Here is a 25702-nt window from a genome sequence, read left to right as displayed (position 1 = left end):
TTTTTATGTTTCGTCTTTCCTTTTCTCCTCTTCCTCCTTTTTGTTTTCCTTTTTTCTTTCCTTCATTTCCCTTTTCGTTCCTTCCTTTCTCTCTCCATTCCTTTCTTCCCCTTTAAATGTTAACCTTAAATCATACACAATCTATACAGATTTTTCACTAGGAGCATCAGCAAAGATTTTCTTCTTTGCTTCCAGAGCTAGTTAGGAGATGAGAAGGGATTTTTCTTAATCTTATTGTGTGGTGGGACTTGAAACGGGTTCCACACCCCCTGACTTCTAGAACTAAAATCAGTGCCAGATCAATAATCTGAAAGATAAATATTATAGACTTGGAAGTTCAGATTCTCCAGGCACAAGACATTTAATTAATGGAAATAATTGTTTTCTCCCTTTCAAATCAATAATTCTGTCATTGTTATTACCTAAAGATCATTACAACCCAAATAAAATGCATTTGGAAAAATCTCACTTTTTTTCTCTAAATGCTTTTAACACCTTTTAATATCTTTTTGGTATATTATTGCCTAGTCTAAAATAAATAAACTCTGAGATTTAACAAAACAAAACCTGCAAGAGATAATTTTACACATAAATTAAAATAATATAAGGTATTGTGTTAGTATAACTATTTTATAGCCTTATATATGAATAATTTCAAACTTTTTATGTGTAATTTTATTTTATGCTAGTATTAGGTATTTTTTAAAGTGGAAATATCTTGAGATATTTGGTTAAAATTTAAGTTCTTTAGGAAACCTGAAAAATAACAAATCTGGTTTTATTAAGAATGAAGCATAAACCTAAAAATATACACATATATATAGAGAAATACCTTCAAAATACATAACCATAATTAAAATCCTAGTTATTTTTTTTAACGTGGGCGTTATTCGAAAAGTCCTAGACATTGCAAGGTAAACCGTTCCCACGGACCGTTCCCTGTCATTGAACGGGCAACAGCGCCCTCTGTCGGAATTTTATAGACGCAAACCCTGCAAGTCTCCTTGATTTCTTTTTCGGCAAAGGTTTCTTTCCGTTCTTGAAAACCTGGTATTGAGAGGAACATTTTTAAAGTTCACTTCTTATGATATTTACTAATTTTAGAAACGATCGTTCCAGCATCTAAAAAGTTCAAACGCCCGAAGAAACGCACAATAAAAGCTCAGCCGCTACGGAGAAAATTTTTCCTAACTTGAACCTACCTCTCTTGCTTTTACTTTCTATTACCTTTCGCGTTATCACTCAATCACATGACGTAGGGAAACTATTCCCGCAAGAACTCAGTAAATGGAAACACAAAGGCAAAACAAACTCTGGATTTGAAGGAAATTAAACGAGTAAAATATGCATTTTCCTCGTTATTTTATCTTGCCTTATGTCCATATTTCTTTTTCAGGTTACGCACATGCTCTCCTAGGTGGAACCGCACTTGAGACATCCCAGATAGTTAACACTCGTACTTTCCTCTTTCATTTGCATTTATTTCAGTTTAAAACAGCAAAGAAAAGAATTATTCATACCCTCTTTTTTTTTCAGCCTCATATAGAGGGAATATTATTCAGTAAATGTCGGAGTCTATAATTAAAAGCAAATGCACCCAGCATGAAGCCCTCTGCTGGTGATTTTCGAAGTATGTTCAGGACTGTTTTTTAAAAAATGTACAGAAAAATATCATTATTAAATCAAGGTCAACTAGGAGCACTTTCATGTCTTCTTTCATCTTTCTTCTAAAAATCTAATTATGAATTATCTAAATTTATTTGACTTCCTTCCTTCCACTAGCCCTCACCTTTGCACCTGTGGGTTAACACTCCATGAACTATCTTCCTTTGCAGATGCCCACTGTACCACCTTTTCTTTTTCCATTACACAGTCTCCCTGGGTTTCCCCTTTCCATCTACCCAACGCACAAAAATAATAAAATTAGAAAAGTCAAGAATTAGAATTATTGTGCCAAGTTTGCACCCTGGCCTTTCTCATTCTAGGCGGTGGGGCAGGCTATTTAATAGCCTGAGGTTCAGTGCACTGAACTACAAAATGGAAATGATTGTGAAAATTTATTAAAATAGTATCTGTGGGTAAATATATGTGGTACTATTGCTTCATAAACAATTTAACTTATCATCATTGTCTCAAAACACTTAGCGGGGGGTCAGGAAAGTGGAGGCTTCTAAAAACCAGGGATTTGCAATAAACTCCTGGTTAGAAAGTGGAGGTGGGAAACCCAATATAGGTCTTCAGACTGTGTACTCAACGCTTTGCCCACAGTCTCATGATGCTGTCTTACTTCTTTCCTTCTGAAGTTAAGAAGACAGTATTTTTGGATCATTGAGTATGTCCAGGGTTATTTTTTATAGTCCTGGATTTATAAGTAGGCAAAGGAAAGAAGAGAGGAAGGAAAAACTGTCTTACTTCAGCATCCTCAGATATTGCCCCACCTCTTACCCATCAGAAGCATTATTGTCTGCTGAGTTGAATAATAAGACACGACATCCATATAACAGATCTTGATAAGTTAAAAAATGATAAAACATGACAGCTCCATTTTTTACTGTTGCAGTCTGGCTCCTAATTTTCCTACCATGTTTCTGTCTTAAGCTTTCTCATGATTATATTTTTGGGGAAGATTCAGTAGGTGTTTTTATCATCAATTTGGAAACAAAATACTGTTGAATGTCTGAAACTACAATTTAAGCACCTGCCTTCAGATTTCTAGGGCTTTGATACCATATAGGTTTCAGTGACTTGGTATGAGGAAACAAAATAGGAGGGACTAATGTTTGCACAGGAGTGTTTTTAAAAAATGAAATGTGGGTGGGGTTATCTTTAGACTGACTCTTCATAATTATCGAGATTGAGGCAAGCACTAAACAGGAAAGAGCATTTCTTACTTTAATCATAATATTTAGTTGATGGTACATTTGTAAATTTGTAAAAGATACTGAGTTGAAATCACTTGTGAGAATAAAAATAACTGTAACTGTGAAAACTCACCCTTTCCCTGGGACTTTTGAGGAGCAATAGTAATTTCATTATAGATTTTAGATGTCCTGATCCCCTTAAGCTTTTCTGTTTAACTACGGGGGTATGAAGTGGCTAAGGGGACAGTTTTGAAATTCCTATCTCTTGGAGGTAAAGAGGTTAAGGAAAGGAAGATGAGGGGCTGAAGCAAATGATGCAAACAGCCATGCAACAATTGTTTTCAACACCAATGGGCATTTCACATTCAAAATGTGAGAGGTGTGTGTCTCCTCTGCCATGACTAATGCAGGAGGACAGGTACTTTCATCATTGTGGATGTTTTCCATATTATTGCTTTAAGAAGGAGAAATCTTGAAGGGTGAGAATACTAAACAATTTGGTTTCAAAATGCAACCAGTAGACCAGTACACATCTGTGAGGAAAAAAATTTGCAAATAAAGACTTTGAAAGATGTAGAGCAGAAATATAACCTTTAAAGCATGAATAAACACATACAATGTATAGCATCAGAGCTGAAGTGTCTCATAAATACAAGGGACATTTGGGAGAAATTAGCATTATATTGGAACTACTTCCTAAAATTCACGATTTGACATTCTGATAAAAATAGGGAAGGATCTTCATTTTATGCCTCTTTTTTATTTCTTTGACATAAGATGAGTTTTTCACTTACCAGTTATATTCCCTTTGGCAAGTCCTCTGACCTTTCCAGATCTCAGTTTTCTCGTTGATAAAATGAGGAGAATTCGGCCAGAAGCTCATGCCTGCAATCCTAGCACTTCGGGAGGCTGAGGTGGGTGTTTCACCTGAGGTCAGGAGTTTGAGAATAGCCTGGCTAACATGGTGAAACCCCGTCTCTACTAAAAGTACAAAATTACATGGGCATGGTAGCGCACGCCTGTAATCCCAGCTACTTGGGAAGCTGAGGCAGGAGAATCGCTTGAATCTAGGAGGTGGTGGTTGCAGTGAGCCAAGATCACGCCATTGCACTCCAGCCTGGGGGATAAGAACAAAATTCCGTCTCAAAAAAAAAAAAAAAAGGAGAATTTACTAGGTGATATGCAAGCTTCTTCCATAGGAATGGACTTTATGAAACTGATAAAAGCATCAAGTAGTAATTAATTAATTTTTTTATTTTAAATATTACTCTTTTGAGACAGGGTCTCACCCTGTTGTCCAGGCTGGAGTGCAGTAGCGTGATCACATGAACACTGCAGCGTCACCCTCCTGGGCTCAATAAATCCTCCCACCTCAGCCTCCCCAGTAGCTGGGACTACAGGTGCATGCCACCACACCTAGCTAATTTCTATTTTTATTTTTGTAGAAACGGGGTCTTGCTATGTTGACCAGGTTTGTCTTGAACTCCTGACCTCAAGCAATCCTTCCTCAGTCTCCCAAAGCACTGAGATTACAGATGTGAGCCACTGGGACCAGCCAAAAAAATTTAAATGAAAGTGTTCTTTCTGAGCATGTTGCAGCAAGCCTCATCTTTCTGGAGCCCTCTGTGAGAGAGTTTAAAATAATTGGTTCCAATCTTTTAGTAAATGATAATCACAAAAATTTTTTAGGAATACGATCTTAGAAGAAAGCAAACAAAGAAAGGATAAGAAAACCGTGTCTTAATTTGTAGGAGCTGCTATAAAAAAAATACTTCCCAGCTGTGGCAGGAAGCAACATGACCATTCATTCCTATTAATTATGCTGCCATTAGGACAGAATGTAGGATGCTGTTAAATTCCTAATCTTATGTGTTGTATTTCTGACCATTTTCTCTCTTTCTCTTCTTCTTTTTTGTTTGTTTGCAATAAAAATAAGTTTTTATGTATGGCCAAAAAGAATACCTTAGAATGGGTAGTTTATAAACAGCACCATTTTATTGCTCACAGTTCTAGAGGTTGGGAAGACCAAGATTAGTTAACCAGTAGATTCAGTGTTTGGTGAGGGCCTGTTCCAATAGATGGTTACCTCACATGGTGGAAAGGCAAAAGGGGCAAACAAGCTCTCACGCTTTTTTTTTTTTTTTTTTGATGGAGTCTTGCTCTGTCACCCAGGCTGGAGTGCGGTCGCGCGATCTCAGCTCACTGCAACCTTCACCTCCTGGGTTCAAGCGATTCTCCTCCTCAGCCACCTTGACTAGCAGGACTGAAGGTGCCTGCCACTATGCCCAGCTAATTTCTTATATATATATATATATATTTTTTTTTTTTTTTTAGCAGAGACAGGGTTTCACCATGTTCACCAGGCTGGTCTCGAACTCTCAACCTTAGGTGATCCACCTGCCTCGCTCTCTCAAACTGCTGGGATTACAGGCATGAGCCACCGTACCTAGCCCTCAGGCTTCTTTTATAAGGGCGCTAATCCCATTCACCAGGACTCTGCCCTCCTGACCTGGTCACCTCCCAAAGGCCTCGTTTCTTAATGCCAACACATTAAGAGTTGGATTTCAACATATGAATTCTGGAGGGACACATACATTCAGACCATAGATATAGCTTGAGGGAAGAGAATATTATTTTAATAACTAGTACTTAATAGGCACTTTGAAAAATTCAAGGATGTATGTCTACAAGAATAACATCTAATGTACTAAAAGAATTTGCAGTTATAATCTTGACAATTATGGTTAGTAATCTTTGATAAAGTATGCAGAGTGAAACCAATGTCCAATAGCAAAGGCTGGAAAACACTTCATTCTTCAGAAAGAGCGATACTAAGGCCAGGCTCAGTGGCTTATGCCTATAATTCCAGCACTGTGGGAGGCTGAGGCAGGCGAGGTCTGGAGTTGGAGGTCCGGAGTTGGAGACTAGCTTGACCAACATGGTGAAACCCTGTTTCTGCTAAAAATACAAAAATACAAAAATTAGCCAGGTGAGGTGGTGCCCACCTGTAATTCCAGCTTTCCAGCTACTTGGGAGGCTGAAGCATGAGAGTTGCTCAAACTCAAGGGGTGGGGGTTGCAGTGAGCCAAGATCATTCCACAGCACTCCAGCCTGGGCGACGGAGTGAGTCTCGGTCTAAAAAAAAAACAACAAAAAACGGTGATACTAGATGGATACTAGAAACTACAGATGGGGAATCATACTATTGTTTCCCTAAGAAAATGATAGTTTAGTTTGTCAAAGTGCAGTTAGTCAATTCTGGAAGGGAATGAAGAGATCTCAGAACTAGCATGGATTCAGGAAGAACAGATAATTCCTTATGTTCTAATTTCCTTTTGCTAAAAATTCACTAGACTGAATATTGGAGACACAGTGTATCTGGAGCTCATGAAGACATTTCAAAGGTTTTTCATTGGCTCCATTATCTGGGTTGAGTGATGTTATGGTATTTGGAGACTGTCTTTCTCTCTGATGAAGGATATGAGCTTTGGAGTAGGACAGATGTGTGTGAATTCCAGATCTGCTACTTACTATCTTGGACATTAAGAAAATTGCCTCTGCCTCTGCCTCTGCCTCTGCCCCTGCCCCTGCCCCTGCCCCTGCCCCTGCCCCTGCCTCTCTCTCCACGGTCTCCCTCTGATGCCGAGCCGAAGCTGGACTGTACTGCCGCCATCTCGGCTCACTGCAACCTCCCTGCCTGATTCTCCTGCTTCAGCCTGCCGAGTGCCTGGGATTGCAGGTGCGCGCTGCCACGCCTGATTGGTTTTCGTATTTTTTTGGTGGAGATGGGGTTTCGCTGTGTTGGCCGGGCTGGTTTCCAGCTCCTAACTGCGAGTGAGCTGCCAGCCTCGGCCTCCCGAGGTGCTGGGATTGCAGACGGAGTCTCATTCACTCAGTGCTCAATGTTGCCCAGGCTGGAGTGCAGTGGCCTGATCTCGGCTCCCTACAACCTCCACCTCCCAGCCGCCTGCCTTGGCCTCCCAAAGTGCCGAGATTGCAGCCTCTGCCCGGCCGCCATCCCGTCTGGGAAGTGAGTAGCATCTCTGCCTGGCTGCCCATCGTCTGGGATGTGAGAAGCCCCTCTGCCTGGCTGCCCAGTCTGGTAAGTGAGGAGCGCCTCTTCCCGGCCGCCATCCTGTCTAGGAAGTGAGGAGCGTCTCTGCCCGGCAGCCCATCGTCTGAGATGTGGGGAGTGCCTCTGCCCCACCACCCCGTCTGGGATGTGAGGAGCGCCTCTGCCTGGCCGTGACCCTGTTTGGGAGGTGAGGAGCATCTCTGCCTGGCCGCCCCATCTGAGAAGTGAGGAGCCCCTCTGCCTGGCAGCCACCCTGTCTGAGAAATGAGGAGCCCCTCCGCCTGGCAGCCGCCCCTTCTGGGAAGTGAGGAGCCCCTCTGCCCGGCCGCCACCCCATCTGGGAGGTGTACCCAACAGCTCATTGAGAACGGGCCATGATGACGATGGCGGTTTCGTCGAATAGAAAAGGGGGAAATGTGGGGAAAAGATAGAGAAATCAGATGGTTGCTGTGTCTGTGTAGAAAGAAGTAGATATAGGAGACTCCATTTTGTTCTGTACTAAGAAAAATTCTTCTGCCTTGGGATGCTGTTAATCTATAACCTTACCCCCAACCCCATGCTCTCTGAAACATCTGCTGTGTCCACTCAGGGTTAAATGGATTAAGGGCGGTGCAAGATGTGCTTTGTTAAACAGATGCTTGAAGGCAGCATGCTTCATCGTCATCACCACTCCCTAATCTCAAGTACCCAGGGACACAAACACTGCAGAAGGCCGCAGGGTCCTCTGCCTAGGAAAACCAGAGACCCTTGTTCACTTGTTTATCTGCTGACTTTCCCTCCACTATTGTCCTATGACCCTGCCAAATCCCCCTCTGCGAGAAACACCCAAGAATGATCAATAAATACTAAAAAAAAAAATCTGAAAAAAAAAAAGAAAATTACCTAACCTCCCTGAGCCTCAATTGCTATGTATGATACATATTTCCTTATTAAACATATTTCCTACATGAAATATGTGCATGACAATAGCCATTGTGTGGGAATAGTCATCATGATTAATTGAGATAATACATATAAAATGCTTTTCATGACCTCCAGTATAAGGAAACCACTCAGTATGTGTTGTATCTACTGTTTCCATCTCAGATTTGCAGTTATTTGAATAATTATCTCCCAAAGAGATTAATTGATTAATAATAAACAATTTAAGACAGTAGCTTTAATAGTTAGTTTGCCACAGGACTTTGTCCTTAGTCTCATTCTTGCTAATATAAAAGACTTGAAGAATATTTACAAGACATGTTAGTTACTTTCTAGGTGCTAAACATCAGGGAAAATAGTACACTGGATTACAGAATGAGGATTCGCAAATATTTTAACAGGCCAATACTCTGGAACAAATCCCAAAAGCTATAATTTAGCAAAGATAAAAATAACAAAAATATGAGCAAGAAGTGGGGGCCTCATAGACCGACAGAGGAAGACATGAAAATACCCACAGATTTTTGCCACTCAGGGCCCTTATGGTTTCTGGACTGTAGTAACCACATCAGCATCATGCCCAACAACTTACTGAGAATGAAAAATCTATAGAGTAAGTGAGATCCCAGGTTGCATTAGTAAACTTGGTTTAAGCGCAGAAAAGTTGCAATCCTACAGTTTTTTTATGTTGGTAAAACTGCATTTCAGGACTTGTGTCCAACTGGAGTGGCTTGCGCTATGACTATCACTGATAAACTAAAATGTCTCAGAAAGCACTCAGGCTAGGTACAGTGACTATAATGTCAGCACTTTGGGAGTCGGAGGCAGGAGGATTGCTTGAGCCCAGGAGTTCAAGACCAGTCTAGGCAACATAGTGACACTTTTTTTTCTACAAAAAATAAAGAAAACTTAGCTGGGCATGGTGGCTTGTGCCTGTAGTTCCAACTACTCAGGAGGCTGAGGTGGGAGGATCACTTGATCCCAAGAAGTAGAGGTTGCAGTGAGTCAAAATTACACCATTGCACTCAGTCAAAATTGCACCATTGCACTCCAACCTGGGTGACAGAATAAGACCATATCTCAAAACAAAAACAAAAACAAGAAAGCAATCAGATTTTAAAAAGTTCTGAAAGTCATGCCAAGGGAGAAAGAGTTGAGAAAACTGAATTTTTACACTAACACAGAGAAAACTTGGGAATGTGAATGCTGTCTTTCAATATTTGATGATGGTCTTGGGGAAGGAGAACTAGACTGAGGAAAAAATTGTCATTTGTCTCGTTCACTGCTATATTGCCAGTGTATAGCAAAGTGGCTGGCTCAAATGTGTTCAAAGCATTTTAGGCAAAATAATTCTCTTTTGCTCTAAAGATACAGAATAAGATCAATAGGGAGATTCTACTAGGAGGCAGATATAACTCACTGTGGGAAAAAAATTTCTAAAAATTTCAAGCACTAGAAAAAGCATCTTTGATTATGGTGAACTGTCAGGCTCCGTAGGATGCAGGCAGAGTTTGTACGACCTCAGTCTAGAATGGGGTAATGCTGGGGCAGGAGGTCTATCTATATAACACTGGGCAGGAGGTCCTTTGCAACACCAAGATGCTGGGATTCTACTACAGGTGCTCAGCTTGATATTGCATTGTGAGTTCAGCAGATTAATCATTGTAAAGGACTGGCATTGAGAGATACATGTGGAAGATTCCATTATTTCTGCATCTGTAAAAGTATTATCTGATTGGGGAATTGTACACATTTCTGAGCCCATGTTTCCTTGTAATGCATAAGTTATCTGATATCAATTAGTAGAAACAACATCACAGTAATTATACTCAACAGCTTTATTGGTCTGTCAGTCTGATTGTTTTGCTTTTGTCATTATCACTTTTTTCCATATTTAATAGGATTTATGTGGGTGGCTTTATAGAATGAAGAAAAGCAAATTTATTTATTTAGGGTATGGATGAAGGGCCTTTTAGGCCTTTATTTGCAATAATTTTTGAGGAACAGTTGTTTGATCCCTAAAAGAAATAAATGCTTTGCAGAACATTTCTCCAATGAACACACTCAAAGCCAGGCTCCCTTTGAGGGAGTTTCAAAAACCTTTAAGTGATTTACATAAGCACACAAGTAAAGAGAAGCAATTCTTTCCAAGTCCCTCCTTAATTGCAAAGGAATGTGAAAACTCTTTATAAAACTTTCACTAGTATTTACAAAGAAAGTATGAAGAGTGTTCTTTTCCTGCTGTATTATAAAATATTTTTATTAACTCCATCATTACAACCTAAATTAAATTTAAAAAATATTTTAAGACCCAACTAAGCATGGGCAGTCACTTTTTCATGCTCTTTCTTACTGGCTGTCTTGATAATTTTGGACAATGCACTGTAACCTCTGCCTCCTGGATTCAAGCAATTCTCCTGCCTCAGCCTCCCGAGTAGCTGGGATTACAGGCATGTGCCACCATGCCTGGCTAATTTTGTATTTTTAGTAGAGGCGGGGTTTCTCCATGTTGGTCAGGCTAGTCTCAAACTCCCGGCCTCAGGTGATCCGCCCGCCTTGGCCTCCCAAAGTGTTGGGATTACAGGCGTGAGCCACTGAGACCGGCCAGAAAGTTTTTTAAAAATAAAAATTGTGATTAGTGATTGGTAAATTAAATACATATATATGTGTGTGTGTGTGTGTGTGTGTGTGTGTGTGTGTATGGATTAGTTCATTTTCATGTTGCTGATGAAGACATATCCGAGACTAATTTATAAAGAAAAGGAAATTTAATGGACTCACAGTTCCACGTGTCTGGGGAGGCCTCCCAATCATGGCAGAAGGTGAAAGGCACATCTTACATGGCAGCAGACAAGAGAGAAAAGAGAACCAAGTGGAAGGGGAAACCCCTTACAAAACCATGAGAACTTGCGAGACTTATTCACCACCATGAGAACAGTATAAGGGAAACCACCCTCATGACTCAATTATCTCCCACCTGGGCCCTCTCACAACAAGTGGGAATTATGGGAGCTGCAATTCAAGATGAGATTTTGGTGGGGACACAGCCAAACCATATCAATAGGGGTTTCTATTTGCTTCATTTCAGGCTCTGAGATTCTGCATTTCTTAGGAGAAACTCTTCCATATTCTGCTAGTGGTGACTTTCTCCCATGAAGTTTCACTCTGAGCATTTCTAAATCTTGATTTGTACACTTGCCAATGGAAGCCTATCTCCAGGGTCACATCTTTTACCACCTCTTAGGTTTTGGCTCTTGGTCCAAGGAAAGCAAAGAGCATTGGTCTATGAACCAATGTGAAGGCTAGCCTTGGCCTCGACTCCACGCACTACCTAGACTTGCCTGGTCTTTTACCTCAGAATCCAGAAGCTAGATGTTGTGAGTGATTGTTCAAGCATATTGAATGACAGCTTTTCTAAGCCTTTCTTCTGTGGAAATACAGCTCAGGGAGAGAGCAGATCAGACAACAACTAGTAATTGGAGATGATAGAAATGATCTAGGATATACAGCTTTACTTGGAAGCAACTTTTCTGGTTTTCACAAATCCATAATGGAAGTCTGACTATGGTTTCTCCTTAACCTGGTGTTTTGGGGCAACGGGTCTTTCTTATTAATGACCTTGATATTGTTTTTGCAAATACTTTTTATTTCAGTTCTAACTAGAGGGACGGTCCTAGAAAATGATTAACACAATTTTAGAGAATGTGATGACAGTGGCTCCAAAGTGACCTTGTACCTAAGCAACTCAAAAGAAAAAAAAAATGACTTTGGCTAAAAAGAGAGACCAGAGTTCCAGGGCCCTCCAAGTCACATGAGATCTGAAAAGAAGCAGCATACCAGCTCTAGCCTTTTATCCAAATATTATCTAGTGCCTTAAACTATTATTTCCAACCAACACTTATTTTTTTCTTCAAAGGAAGAAGAACACCATTTATTTTGGAGTGATTATTATATTAATATACCCTATACCATCAACTTATATTTGAGAATAAATGCAATTACTCCTATGTGAAATGGTCACATTATAGGCACTTCAATTAAATTAGTAATTTGTGGATTTAACTGGGCAGAAAGACACAAAGGACCACCATCATTAACTCTGCCCTTTACTCCACATTTATTTTATGTACACTGATTAGGATTCTACCTGTTTTGACAACAGCAACACTGCTTTACTTTTTATTATGGTCTTTTCTACTCTCGAAATTGCTTCCTTCTGTCTAGTAGCCTAACAGTATTAACTAATAGCTGCCACCTATTGAGACCTCACCATGTCTCCTGCCCTAAATGAAGCACAGTACTTTACTTTGCTCACTTAATTTCATCTTCACAGGGTGTATGAAAAATGCACTCTTACTTGAGTTTTTCAGATAAGGAAACCAAGCCCAAAGGGATTAAGTAAATTTCATCAATTTTTATAGAACTTTTAAATGACAGAAATAGGATTTGAGCCTAAATTTGACTGCAAACCTGACTCCTTAGCGGTGTAAACTTTCAAGGCTCAGAGTCAGCTTTACTTTGACTTCCACAGGCCAGTGGTTTGGACGATGGCAAAACCAGATCCCATATAAGAGAGACAGAAGAAAAAAGTAGAATAAAAGAAGGAGGAAAGAGAAATCAAATAGAGGAAAGGAAAGAAAGATGAATAGAGAAAGTGTAAAATTTTAAAGAAAGAGAAGAAAACAGACACAGCATGTAGTAGGCTGCTGATTCTCTGAATAGTGGTACTCAACATGCAGGTGGGTAATCTTGATCCCCTGAGCATATCTGGAAATGTCTGGGGACATTTTTAAATTCTCAGTTGGCATGGAAGGTGGTGCTGCTTCTGGCATTTAGTGGGCAGAGGCCAACAATGCTGATAAACATTAAGCAATGCATAGAATAGCTTCTACAAAAAGGAATTATCAGTATGTCAATAGTACTGAGGTTGAGAAACTCTGGTCTAGGGTTTGCTTGTCCAACCTCCCCTAGCAAACACCAATCATTAAAAAAGGACATTTTGGAGAGAGAAATGAGATCTTCATCATCTAGGATATAAAAGAATATGAAAGAAGACTTAGTACTGGTAAATTCTTTTGTTTCCCTGCAATATCTGAGAAAAAATTCTATAATGTAGTTTTAGAGTGGCACACTTCATATTTTTAATACAAATTGAATATGTTACTCAATATAAATTGCAATTTAATGTCAGTGAACTCTAAGGAAGCAGAATGGGGTTGAATAATCAGTTCTAACTCTCCTCTGTGAGGACTTCAAAATCCCAGTGTTGGAAGAGAGAGGACCATAAGGAACCATTATACCAGGCCTGTCATTTTACAAAGGAGGGAGTCAGGGCTCAGAAAAATGAAGTGACTTGCCTAAGGCCATAGATGGCTGGGTTGAGACAAAACCCCAGTTCTTCAACCTTCTAATTCTCAGTTCTTTCCCTCTATCAAACTTGGTTCTGCAATTTACTACTAACACTAACCATCAGAAATGACTTAAGCATCTTTTTCTTTAACTTATCAGGTCTATTTGTTAAAAGCACACAAGACGCGTGCACAAACCCTGACACTCAGACATAACAACTTACAGATTCCTTTCAAAGTTTTGTAATAGTTAATACAATATCCCCTCTTTCTTCTGGGGAAAGAAAGGTAATGATAAGAAAGTACTGCATTTGATTAAATCAGACTATAATTTTGCCATGATGATAGTTGCCAAGCCTTTGTAACTCACAGTAGTAGTAACACTTTGAATTCACCATTTCTCTTAATTTAATGCAGTTTTCAAATATGTCTTTCTCATCAGTGTAACTTAAGCATGGGAAAATAAAGCACAAAAATTAAAATCAGATACATGAATGAACTATGCATTAATATACAAATATTTATTAGATGCCAACTGCTTGTGTTGAGCACCTCAGATTGTGGCAGTGACAGCTAACACTTAAGTGATTCTCTGTGCCAAGCAATGGTGTAAGTGTATGTGTTATGTGTATTAACTCATGTACTGTACTAACCATGGTAGGATCTGGAGATGACAAGAAACTAAAGGCCAAATCCTCTATCTTTTGAGAATATGTATTTAATTAGAGAAGCAATGCATGTGAGGCTGATGCCTACTTGTACATAGAAATGTCTGATGAAGCCTAAAAGGAAAACCAATAGGAGATAAAGCTACTATTAGTAAGAGCATGATTTTAATCAGAGAGGGTTTCTGGGAGAAGGTAGATGTACAACTAAAACTGAAAGGAAGCAGAAGAGAGGGAAAACAGAGAGGCACAGGAGGATTGGGTGTCAGGAATTGTGAAAGTATAAAGAACCCTTTTCTAACTGCAACTGAGAAACCATATTAATGATATTGTAATATGTGTTTGTTTAACTGCTATTTTTTCATAGTTATATTCTAAGGCAAAGTTCTAAAACTAATTAAATGACTCAAGGTGAATTGAATTCAACTTGACCTACCTTAACATGATACCTGAAGCCTTTATCTGCAAGCCAGAAGGGAAGCTTCCCAGAACTGGGAGGGGATCCAAGCAGAGGATCCGGGGTTCTTCCTGAGTGTGAAAATGAATGTTATTTTTCCCTCCAGGCTGCTTCTAAGGAGTTAGCTCACACTTCCAAAAGGCATGTAGTAGTCTGTCTCTTCAGCTAGCCAACAATTTCATTTGGTGGGAGATAAAAACAACAACAACAAACCACTATTTATTTTCCTGGGTAACTGGAAAGGTGTATAGGATGATAGATTAATTCACTCACTGATATAGTCAAATATTTCTTGTTCAGAGGTGCAACTCACTCAAATATTATGTATAGAGTGAGGTGATAAAAAAGCAGCAATAGGCTGGGCGCGGTGGCTCACGCCTGTAATCCCAGCACTTTGGGAGGCCGAGGCGGGTGGATCATGAGGTCAGGAGATCGAGACCATCCTGGCTAACAAGGTGAAACCCCGTCTCTACTAAAAATACAAAAAAAAAAAAAAATTAGCCGGGCGCGGTGGCGGGCGCCTGTAGTCCCAGCTACTCGGGAGGCTGAGGCAGGAGAATGGCGTGAACCCGGGAAGCGGAGCTTGCAGTGAGCCGAGATTGCGCCACTGCAGTCCGCAGTCCGGCCTGGGCGACAGAGCAAGACTCCGTCTCAAAAAAAAAAAAAAAAAAAAGCAGCAATAATACCACCTTTGTTTTAATATCAGTTTATTATTCTAAAATAATGTTTTAGAGGAATTGTAATAAAATCCTAAAGCCTAGATATAAAAATTTCATATGTGGTTGACTACAGATATGTTAAAAATTATTCTACCACTTAAATTTACAAGAAAAAAAAAACACCATTAAAAAGTAGGCAAAGGACATGAACAGACACATCTCAAAAGAAGACATTTATGCAGCCAACAAACATGAAAAGAAGCTCAACATCACTGGTCATTAGAGTAAGGCAAATCAAAACCACAATGAGATACCATCTCATGCCATCTCATGGTGATTATTACAAAGTCAAGAAACAATAAGCCAGGCGCAGTGGCTCATGCCTGTAATCTCAGCACTTTGGGAGGCCGAGGTGGGTGGATCACCTGAGGTCACGAGTTCAAGACCAGCCTGGCCAACATGGTGAAACCCCGTCTCTAATAAAAATACAAAAAATTAACTGGGCATGGTGGCGGGCGCCTGTAATCCCAGCTACTCAGGAGGCTGAGGCAGGAGAATCGCTTGAACACAGGAGGTGGAGGTTGCAGTGAGCCGAGATCCTGCCATTGCACCCCAGCCTGGGCTACAAGAGTGAAACTCCGTCTCAGAAAAAAAAAAAGAAAAAAAAAGAAACAATAGATGCTGGAAAGGTTGTGGAGAAATAGGAATGTTTTTACACTGCTGGTGGGAATGTAAATTAATTCAACCATTGTGGAAGATGGTGTGACAATTTCTCAAAGATCTAGAACCAGAAATACCATTTGACCCAGCAATTCCACTACTGGATATAAATCATTCTATTACAAAGACATATTCATGCATATGTTTGTTGCAGCACTATTCACAATAGCAAAGACATGGAATCAATCCAAATGCCCATCAATGATAGACTGGATTAAAAAAATGTGGTACATATACATCATAGAATACCACGCAGCCATAAAAAGGAATGAGATCATGTCCTTTGCAGGGACATGGATGGAGCTGGAAGCTATTATCCTCAGTAAATTAACACAGGAACAGAAAACCAAACACCACATGTTCTCACTTTGAAGTGGGAGCTGAACAATTAGAACACATGGACACAGGGAGGGGAACAACACACACTGGGGCCTGGCAGTGGGTAGGATGTGGGGGAAGGGGGAGCATTAGGAAAAATAGCTAATGCATTTGGGGCTTAATACCTAGGTGATGGGTTGATAGGTGGAGCAAACCCCCATGGCCCACATTTACCTATGTAACAAACCTGCACTTTCTGCACATGTATCCTGGAACCTAAAATAAACATGTATATAATATATTATATATTCTACTGATCAATCAGAACAGTTTTGGGGAGAGGGTCTACATCTAGTTGAACAAATCCAGCAGAGGCTTGCTTGTAATTGTTGCTTTGTAGAGAAAACAGAAAGAATGGCATGGTTAAGAGACTATTTTGGGTCCACGGAATAAGAGGCATAATTTGTACATTATGCTGTTTTGAAAGAAAGCCTGACTCTATTTTTACTTACTGATATATGCTGGCTCTTGGCTTTTACCTCTTTGATTTTTTTTTTTTAGTGGGTCTCACTTGCCCCATTCATTGGATCATTATTAAAGTAATCTTTAAAAGAACATTATTAGAAGTTTTTGACATTTCCTGTCCAAGGGATTTGAGGTCAGTAAGAAATTATATTAAAAATCATACTTTAAAAGTTCTGTATAAAGTTAATCTGTAATTAAAATCAGACATTCCAGATTAACCTCTGTTATAAAATGAAACAAGATAAATGAAATATGGTGAATGAAGATAAACAATAAGTGGTGATAAATAAAACATGATTCTTTTCATTACTTAGGTAGCTTGGGTTTCATGAGGAATGGGGAATGGCTCTGAAAATTTAAATTTTGGCATAGTTTGCTATTAGACCATGGGAACATTTTAGCTTTCATTCTCTATGCAAATAATGGCAATACTATACTTTGGGCATTCATGGGAAAAGAGACAAGATTAATTTTAACAAATACTTTAAAATCTTTTTTTATCTTTTGATTAGAGTGAAGAAACACAAAGCAACTTTAGGAGGTGGTTAAAAAAATAACATAATGAGCAATGTTCTCTCTTTCAAAATCTAGAACATTGGATGGGAACTAAGTTTCCCCTTTAGCTCACCAGATTCTGGGTTTACGCTTTTATATACAAAGAAAGAGTGAGAACACAACTGGTTAGATACAAAAAGTGGAGGAAATTATGGAAGCCTAGAAATGCGGATATGATAATGAGTGAAAAAAAATACCTGGCATCATTTTCTTAATAGGACTCACCTTTTTCTTGCAAACAATCTAGATCTTGAAGTAAATAAGATGGTTTAATTTAGTGCCTGAAATAGAAACACACATGGTTCATCACTCAATTACAATAATAGTGTAAGGAAAAAATGTTTTTGCTTGAATAGTTTTAGCATATTACAAGAAATAAACATGAAATTAGATTCTGTTATGCATTTTTGGTAGGGATAGCTTGGAATTATGTGTTGTCAACTGCATCATATCAAAGGCAAATGATGTAAACCTGTGCCATTGCTGGTGCTATTAATGTTGATTGCTTCGTTAACATAGTGTCTGCTAGGTATCTCCATTATAAAGTCATTCTTTTTCCTCTGTGGGGAGGAAGCACAGAACTAATACAATATCAGAGATACACTACAAAATACCTGTTAATAATCATAAAAGGAGGACTGAGAAACTATTCTATATTGAAGGAGATTAAAAAGATGACAACTGAATGCAAGATATAATCTGATATTTTCTTTTGCTGTAAAATATATTATTGGTATATTTGGAGAAATCTAAACAAGTTTGTAAATTATAAGTAATATTTTATTAATACTATGTTTCTGATTTTGAAAATTAGGGTGTGGCTATATAAAAATGTATTTGAATTTAGGAAACACACACTGAAATATTTTGGGGTAAAGAAGTGTTATGTCTGTGATTTATTCTCAAATGGATATATAAAGCAATTTAGGTAGAATGTTAATATTTAGAGAATCTGAGTGAAGTGTATGTTAACACACTCTTCAGCAATTTATAAGGCCAAAGAAAAGACCCAGTTGTGACAGCTGGTTCTTGTTTTGATTTCTTGTCTAATCCTGGGAAAAATACTTAGATCTTGTTCTTTAACTATCACTATCACCATTTTTCACTTTGTTCTGTTCCCATTTGTAATGAATTTATATTCAGACTTTGAAATTCAGTTTCTTTATAGCCTTAGTGAATTCATTTTTACTAGGAATAAAACTTGCTGAAAGATTGTCTTTTCCAGCCTCTGATGGTCATATGGTCACATAACCAGTGAACTGTAAGTGCAATGTGGTGTGAGGCTCTAGGAAGGCTGTTCAAAGGGAGCAACTCATCTGAGACGGGTACATTTAGTTCTTTGTCTCTTTCTCATTCCTCTTGTCTGCAGTGTAGGCATGACGATGCCATGTATTGAAACTTAAAGATGGAAGCTTGTGTTCAGATAGTGGAGCTGAAGGACAGAAAGAGGCCTGGACTACTGATGAGTGAAGTCACTACACCAACCCTGGACTGCCTGCTTCTGTACTTCTTTTATATAAGAGAGAAATAAACTTTTTCTCATGCAAGCCATTTTGATTTTGGATTTCCTGTTAAACCTATTCTTTTTTTTTTTTTTTTTGAGACGGAGTCTCGCTCTGTCGCCCAGGCTGGAGTGCAGTGGCGCGATCTCGGCTCACTGCAAGCTCCGCCTCCCGGGTTCACGCCATTCTCCTGCCTCAGCCTCCCGAGTAGCTGGGACTACAGGCGCCCGCCACTACGCCCGGCTAATTTTTTGTATTTTTAGTAGAGACGGGGTTTCACCGTGTTAGCCAGGATGGTCTCGATCTCCTGACCTCGTGATCCGCCCGCCTCGGCCTCCCAAAGTGCTGGGATTACAGGCGTGAGCCACCGCGCCCGGCCGTTAAACCTATTCTTAACTCATTGACGACATTACTCTGAGAGTCTTAACACAGTAAGATAGTTTCTCCAGCCACCTACTACATTTAGGTATCAAAAGTATATTAATTGTATTTTCCCAGTCTTCCGAGTTTGGACTGCTTTATGGAATGACCATGATTGAAGACCAAGCTATTCTTCTTTGGCCTGAAAGAGGAAAGTTGAATCAAAAGTTTTGCTTTACTTTTAGGGTCTTCCCAAATAGGTAGAGATGGAGGATCCAGTGGTGTGGTGATGACAGGTTTCTTCAGAGCATACATACGTTTCTCCCCTTCTTCCAAGACTTTAGGATTTTGCTAGGTCTATAAAGGGAAGGCTTCTTATCATTGGAGGAGGCTGACCATGTCAGGACATGCTTATTCATAAGAGAAATTTATAGCAGAAAATCAGCATCTAGTATACACTCTCCAAAGACAGGACTGTCAGCATCTCTCTTTCATGCTTGAGCCCTCCACTGGCTCTCTGTTACATCAAAACTTCTCTTAGGACTTTAAAGCCACCCAGATGTTTTTTCACGCCTTTTACTTGGTGCATTATTTCTTCCATTTCTTATTAAACAGTCCTCATCATTGTACACCAGTTATGTATCAATTCCCATCGCTATACTTTTCTTACTCTGCCTAACCTTAATATTACTTGGGAATAAGTTCAAGTTTTACGTTTTTCTTAAATCACCCTCTCATTACTCAGGTGCTCATTGATTTCTCTGACTACAAGCTGGAGTCAACAGCATACAGCTTGGTAATTAATCATCACTGTATGTTTCACAGCACAGCCATCTCCTTGAGCAAGATTAAGACTTCTTTGAGGCTCATCCTCAGTATATCTCATGGATGTCTCTTGCATGCTTTTGTGTATATGATGTTCTGTGTCTATGCTGCTTTATCAAATTTCAATCCACCTAAATGAGGCAAGTAAAAGGTATTTTTTTTAATTTTAGGTTTTTAATTATTATGGGCACATACTAGGTGTATATATGTATGTATGGGGTACATGTGATTTTTGGTATAGGCATTCAATGATATTGGGTAATTGGGTGTCTGTCACCTCTAGCATTTATTTCTTTGTTTGAGGAACATTTCAATCTCACTCCCTTAGTTATTTTAAAATATGCAATAAATTATTGTTGACTACAGTTAGTTACCCCTTTGCATGATCAAATACTAGACCTTATTCATTCAAACTATATTTTTGCACCCATTAACCATCCTCATTCATCCCCACTCTCCCTCATCCCGCTACCAAGAACCCTCATGGGCTAAACCTAACTTTGAACCTGGACTGCCCTGCAGCAGTGTGATCGTAGCTTACTGCAGCCTTGAACTCCTGGGCTCCGTTGATCCTCCCGACTCAGCCTCTCAAGTATCTGAGACTACAAGTGCAGGCCACCAAACCTGGCTAATTTTTTATTTTTGTTTTTTGTAGAGACAAGGTCTTGCTATGTTGCCCAGGCTGTTCTTGAACTCCTGGTCTCAAGTGATCTTCCCACCTTGGCTTCTCAAAGTTCTGGGATTAAAGACATGAGCCACTGCATCCAGCCTATTTTCGTTTTAAACAATCATTTAACAGGAAGGAAAGCTGTGAGGTCAAAATAAGTAAAATGGGTAACAGGAAATAAGTTAGAAGATAAAGATTAGAACCAAAATCTTCTTTTTTCCCAGCTATTTCTCTTCCTGTTAAGCAACACAAGTTAGAATGTAAGCTCAGTGAGGTCACAGTCTAGGTTTGCTGATGTTGTTGTTTTTGTTGATATATCCCCAGTATCTAGAAGACTGCATGGCACCTACTAGGTCCTCAATACATATTTATTAAATAACTAAATGAGGGCTTTAGAGGCTAGACAATAAATTTTGCCCTTTATTATAAAAGACCATAGATATATAAGCTGATTTTCCCATATCTTCAAGAAAGTGTCTTACAGTTAGATAGAAGGAATAAGTTCTAGTGTACCATGGCAAACTATAGTTAACAACAGTATGTACATTAATAATTGATCGTTATTGATAGATGGTGGAACTCCTAGATGGAAATATTAACAGGGGTAGGAATTCGGTGCTTTTTTTTTCTTTTTCTTTTTTTTCTTTCTTTCTTTTTTTTTTTTTTTGAGATGGAGTCTCCCTCTATTGCCCAGGCTGGAGTGCAGTGGCATAATCTTGGCTCACTGCAACCTCCACCTCCTGGGTTCAAGTGATTCTCCTTCCTCAGCCTCCCAAGTAGCTGGGACTACAGGCACGAGCCCCGACGCCCAGCTAGTTTCTTTGTATTTTTAGTAGAGATGGGGTTTCACCATATTGGCCATGCTGATCTCGAGCTCCTGACCTTGTGATCCGCCCACCTTGGCCTCCCAAAGTGCTAGGATTACAGGCGTGAGCCCTGTGCCAGGCTTAGAGCTTTTTTTTTTTTTTAAGATATCACATGCAGCTGGAATGTACCAATTAGTGCTGTGGAAACTGACTTGAAGCTAACTGGAATTCCCCTCAAATGTTCCAACTTAAAGTCGTACAAGCCTATTTTACCAGATGGTTTATGAATGAACTATAGAATTTTGTGGCTCATAAGTAATGTATAGTAATGACACCTTCCCATTTGCTATTTACTTACACAGGTAGAAGCAGCAGACACGTGAAGAAAGATCTGAAGAATATTTTGATCCTTTGGAGGAACCACATCAAGCTTTTGAGGCAACCAAGGGTGTAAATATTCTGTACTGGAGGTCACATTATGGAATGGTTAAGGGGCTAATAGGGGCTGAAGACGTTCTGTGGGTTGAGGAGAGGGAAACAAAAGACTTCATTCCTAATACCATTGAAACTTCAGGGAGGACATCTTGTATTGCCCAAGAAAACTCTGTAAGTCAGGAATGACAACTGTAATACACTGTGGTCTCTGGGTCTGATATTGCTTCTAAATAATGATCCATGAGAATATATTCATTTTGAACTATTCTGTGCATTGTGTACATGTAGATTCTAGGCCCAGAATTATGTAGATAATGGGGTTGCCCCATTACTTAAGATGTAAGAGTGGGAGGTAGAAAAATCTCACCCTAACACCCACTCTAGTTGTGCACACAATATCAGTCCAGTAGGGAAAGGGGAAGCCAACTTAGGGCTCCATCAAACCCACCTGGCCGTGGATAGGCGAGAGAAAAGAAGCCTGGGAAAGCCATGGGAAAGAAAAGGTTATTCAGTGAAGAAAAGGGTATTTTTCTCTCCTTTCCAAAGCTCCATGGGGACTCCATTTTCTCCCAGCTGGTCACATTTTTATGGGCCTCCACCTTCCTATCAATTAGCCTTCCGGTCTCCTGCCCCTCCATCCTTCGGTTAGCCTGGACTCTGGTAGTGCTTGAGCTACCTGAAGGAGGTGGGTGTGCTTTTTCATGCCTCTTTCTCTCCCCTGATTCATTTTCTCAGCAGACTGGCCAAAGAGAGGTCCTTGAAACCCACTAGCCCCACAAAGTCCTGAAGCGACCTTATTCTGTGTGATTAGCTCACCCCAAATGAGTTGTTATTTAGGGGTGAACTGCCTAGTTATTTCCATGGAGATTTTTGCCAGTGTCAGAAATAAATTTTGATATTGAATTTAAATATGCTGCAATAAATAAATTAAGAAATGTGATTAAAGCCAACAGTCCTTGGCACACACGTATACATAACCATAAATACTGATCTGAAATTCATAAGCATCTTCTAGCCTATACAGATCCCATTTTTACCAAGAAGGCAAAAGGCAAAAGAGAAAGAGAAAGAAACAGAGAGAGAGAGAAAGAGAGAGAGAGGCAGGGATGGAGAGAGAGAGAGAGGGATAGAGAGAGAGAAAGGAAGAGAGAAACACACGATGGGCATCGGGGAGGGAGTGGGAGCAGAAAATAAAATCAAAAAATCAAACTCGGTCCTGGGAATGTGGGCTTAAGATGTATAATGTGCTTTCCTCTGTGCTCAACCATAGTTTTCTGCCCTAAGGTGGTAGTTTTCAAGCTTTAGGATGCTTTAATGGGGGGTATGAATTTAATACAATTTCTAAGTCTCCACCTTCAGAAATACTGATTCAGTTTATTCTGTAAATCAGGAGTAGAGTCTAGGGATTTTCATTTTACTAAAGACTTCAGAAAATTCAGATTCAAGTGGTCCTGTGAAACTTTGTAGGGGGTGGTGTGTGTGTATAAAATTTCCTTTTGAATAAATGTGGCCATGCTAGAAATCCAGGGTTGATTACTTGGACAAAGGAAAAATAAAACATGTATGAGTCATGGAAGGAAATTGAAAATATTTTGTATCTGTGTGCTGCCATGATATCTAATAATCTAATAGGGAAGATGTACCATAGTTATTTTTCTGTTGTGCTTTTTCAAGCGATGTATGTGATTTGATGAGGTGTACCATCATCTGAGTTCACATAAAAGGCAGTCTAGAATTTCTCACAAAACTTTCCAGAAGTGAGGCTAAGCAGATGGCAAGCTATATCAGAAGAAAACACAGCATGATGGAAATGGCAAACCCATTTGACCATGAGGGACTCCGGGATCCGGTTTTGGTGCTTCTTTGGGTAAACCTCTGAAGTTCTTTGGGCATCATGATTCTTACCTCTAAAATGAAGAGTGTGGGAAAGATGGCCTTTTGGTTCACTTCTAGAGCTGAATTCTCCAGAAAGACTTTGTGGTTGCCTTTTTGAGTAATTCATTGCTGTCAGAAATTGGATGAAGGTCAGGTAGTCTTTGAGTATCAAGTTGTTAAGCCTTAAAATACTAGCAACAATTTTATTCAGCACCTTCTGTGTACCAGGATCTCTGCTTTATGCTTCATATGCATTTGCCCCAATCCTTCCCTGAATTCAGTTTGGTTTCTCTGCTATCATTTTATGTATTAGGAAAATATGATTCGGGGAAGATAGGCAGCGCAATGTAAGGTTTAAGAACAAGAGTTCTAGAGCCTTTAGACCTGGGCCTGAATCCTGACTCCACCACTCAATAACTATATGACTAAGTATGTAAAAGTTATTGAACAATCTCCATGGCTTAGTTTTCTCATTTGTAAAATGAGAATTATAACAGTTTTTCCCTCATGGGGTTGCTATATATGGTACACGTTATGCAAGTGTTTGCTCTGACAGTTATTAAATATTTTGTTAGAGCTGAGATTTGAATCCAAGTCTGTTTGAATATGAAACCCATGCTAGTTCTTAGCCCAGTGATTGAAACCACATTGCTGAGCCAGTGTGTTTGAGTCCAAATAAAGATTCAGTGAGTCAAGATGCATCATTTAGACTCAAAAATGAATGTCAAAAGTAACTGGCAAGGAAGGATACAACATGTTCCCAAACTGGGACCAATTAAGATTTTAAGCCATTATATTTCACATAAACCTTCTGGAAACTTTGAATTAAATCCATGATTCAAATAAAGTTATGAGATTAAACATAACATCCATACTGTAAGAAAATTCACATACACACACACGTACAAAATAACACACAGTGTTTATTTGTCACCCTCAATATGCTTGTAGGGTTGGAGGAAAAATTTCTACTTTAAAGATAAGAGAACCACAGCACAGAGCAGTGAAATCATTTACTGAACGTTGCATTAAGTGCTCTCATAGACTTTACAGTCCAGAAGGGCTCATAAATGGACACAGAAATGTAATAAAGAATTATAATGTTATGATAAGGTCTTCAGTTACCTATCCATTTATTCCTTCTTTATTTATCTGACACCAATTCTCCTGTTTTCTAACCTAGATCCTTCCCTTTACTAAGAAGCTTCATTTTATTAATTATCTGCACATTAGTTAGGATTAATCCTTCCATATTCCCCACTCATTACATGCTTGTCACTTGTTATTTTAAAAATATTGTCCTATTTTTACTTTGCAGGTTTGAGGAAGTTCAACTTTGTTCTATAAATAGATCTAACATAGTTGTAGAGCACAGAGAACCAATCTTGTCTCTGAATAATATTCTGAATCTGTAGATTGATAGATCAGTCTATCTATTGATCTATCACTTATCTGGTACATTGGCTGGTAGGTGATAAATAACTAGTTGTTGAATGGATATGGGAGCAACTTTTTCCTTCACTTGCTCCAGCAATCCCGTTGATGAATGATAACTCACTTCCTCTTCCAGCAGAGGGCAGTAGAATACACTCTGTAGCACGAAGGCTTTGGGAAATACTGGTGCTATTTTGAAAGTACGGTATTCAGATATGTTTGAAGATAGAGAATAAGGTGACAGTTTTTTGTGAAAAAAAATTAAAGAAAAAGAGACATTATATTAATTCTTGTTATAAGTGAAACAAAAAAAATTTCATTTAATATTTTTCTTCTTCAGGGAATTGGTAGTTGGTATGTGACTCAAAACTGCTCATCACCAGAGAAGCCTATACTTTGCAATTGCCTTTGTTAATTCCTTCTGTATTTAAATAATATCTATACTATGTTTCCTTTGTAGAATGGGTTATAGGGAATATAAATATGTCCCTGTGATTACTAGTTTATTTAATAAGGTAAATGGCTTTTCGGTTTTCTTCTAGAGCCGAATTCTGCAGAAAGACTTTGTGGTTGCCCTTTTGAGTAATTCATTGCTGTCACAAACTGGATAAATTTCAGGTAGACCATAAGTACCAAGTTGTTATGGTATAAAATACTAGTAACAATTTTGCTAGTAGTTACTAAAATATGCTAT

At 39.1% G+C, this 25702-nt stretch overlaps 1 long non-coding RNA gene across 1 annotated transcript; it reads right to left on the bottom strand.

The window, feature by feature from the left end:
• LOC105375084 (uncharacterized) lies at positions 14396-19311 on the bottom strand. Its single transcript, XR_926867.2, has 3 exons — positions 19206-19311; positions 17330-17385; positions 14396-14492 (listed from the first exon to the last, which is right to left on the bottom strand). It is a non-coding gene; the product is annotated as an uncharacterized LOC105375084 (long non-coding RNA).
• Positions 19312-25702: the final 6391 nt, after the last annotated feature.

This window comes from Homo sapiens, chromosome 6, assembly GCF_000001405.40.
Source record: "Homo sapiens chromosome 6, GRCh38.p14 Primary Assembly".
NCBI classification, from domain to species: domain Eukaryota; kingdom Metazoa; phylum Chordata; class Mammalia; order Primates; family Hominidae; genus Homo; species Homo sapiens.
The sequence above is the reverse complement of the archived record's forward strand: the minus strand, read 5'-3'. Positions and strand labels throughout refer to the sequence as shown.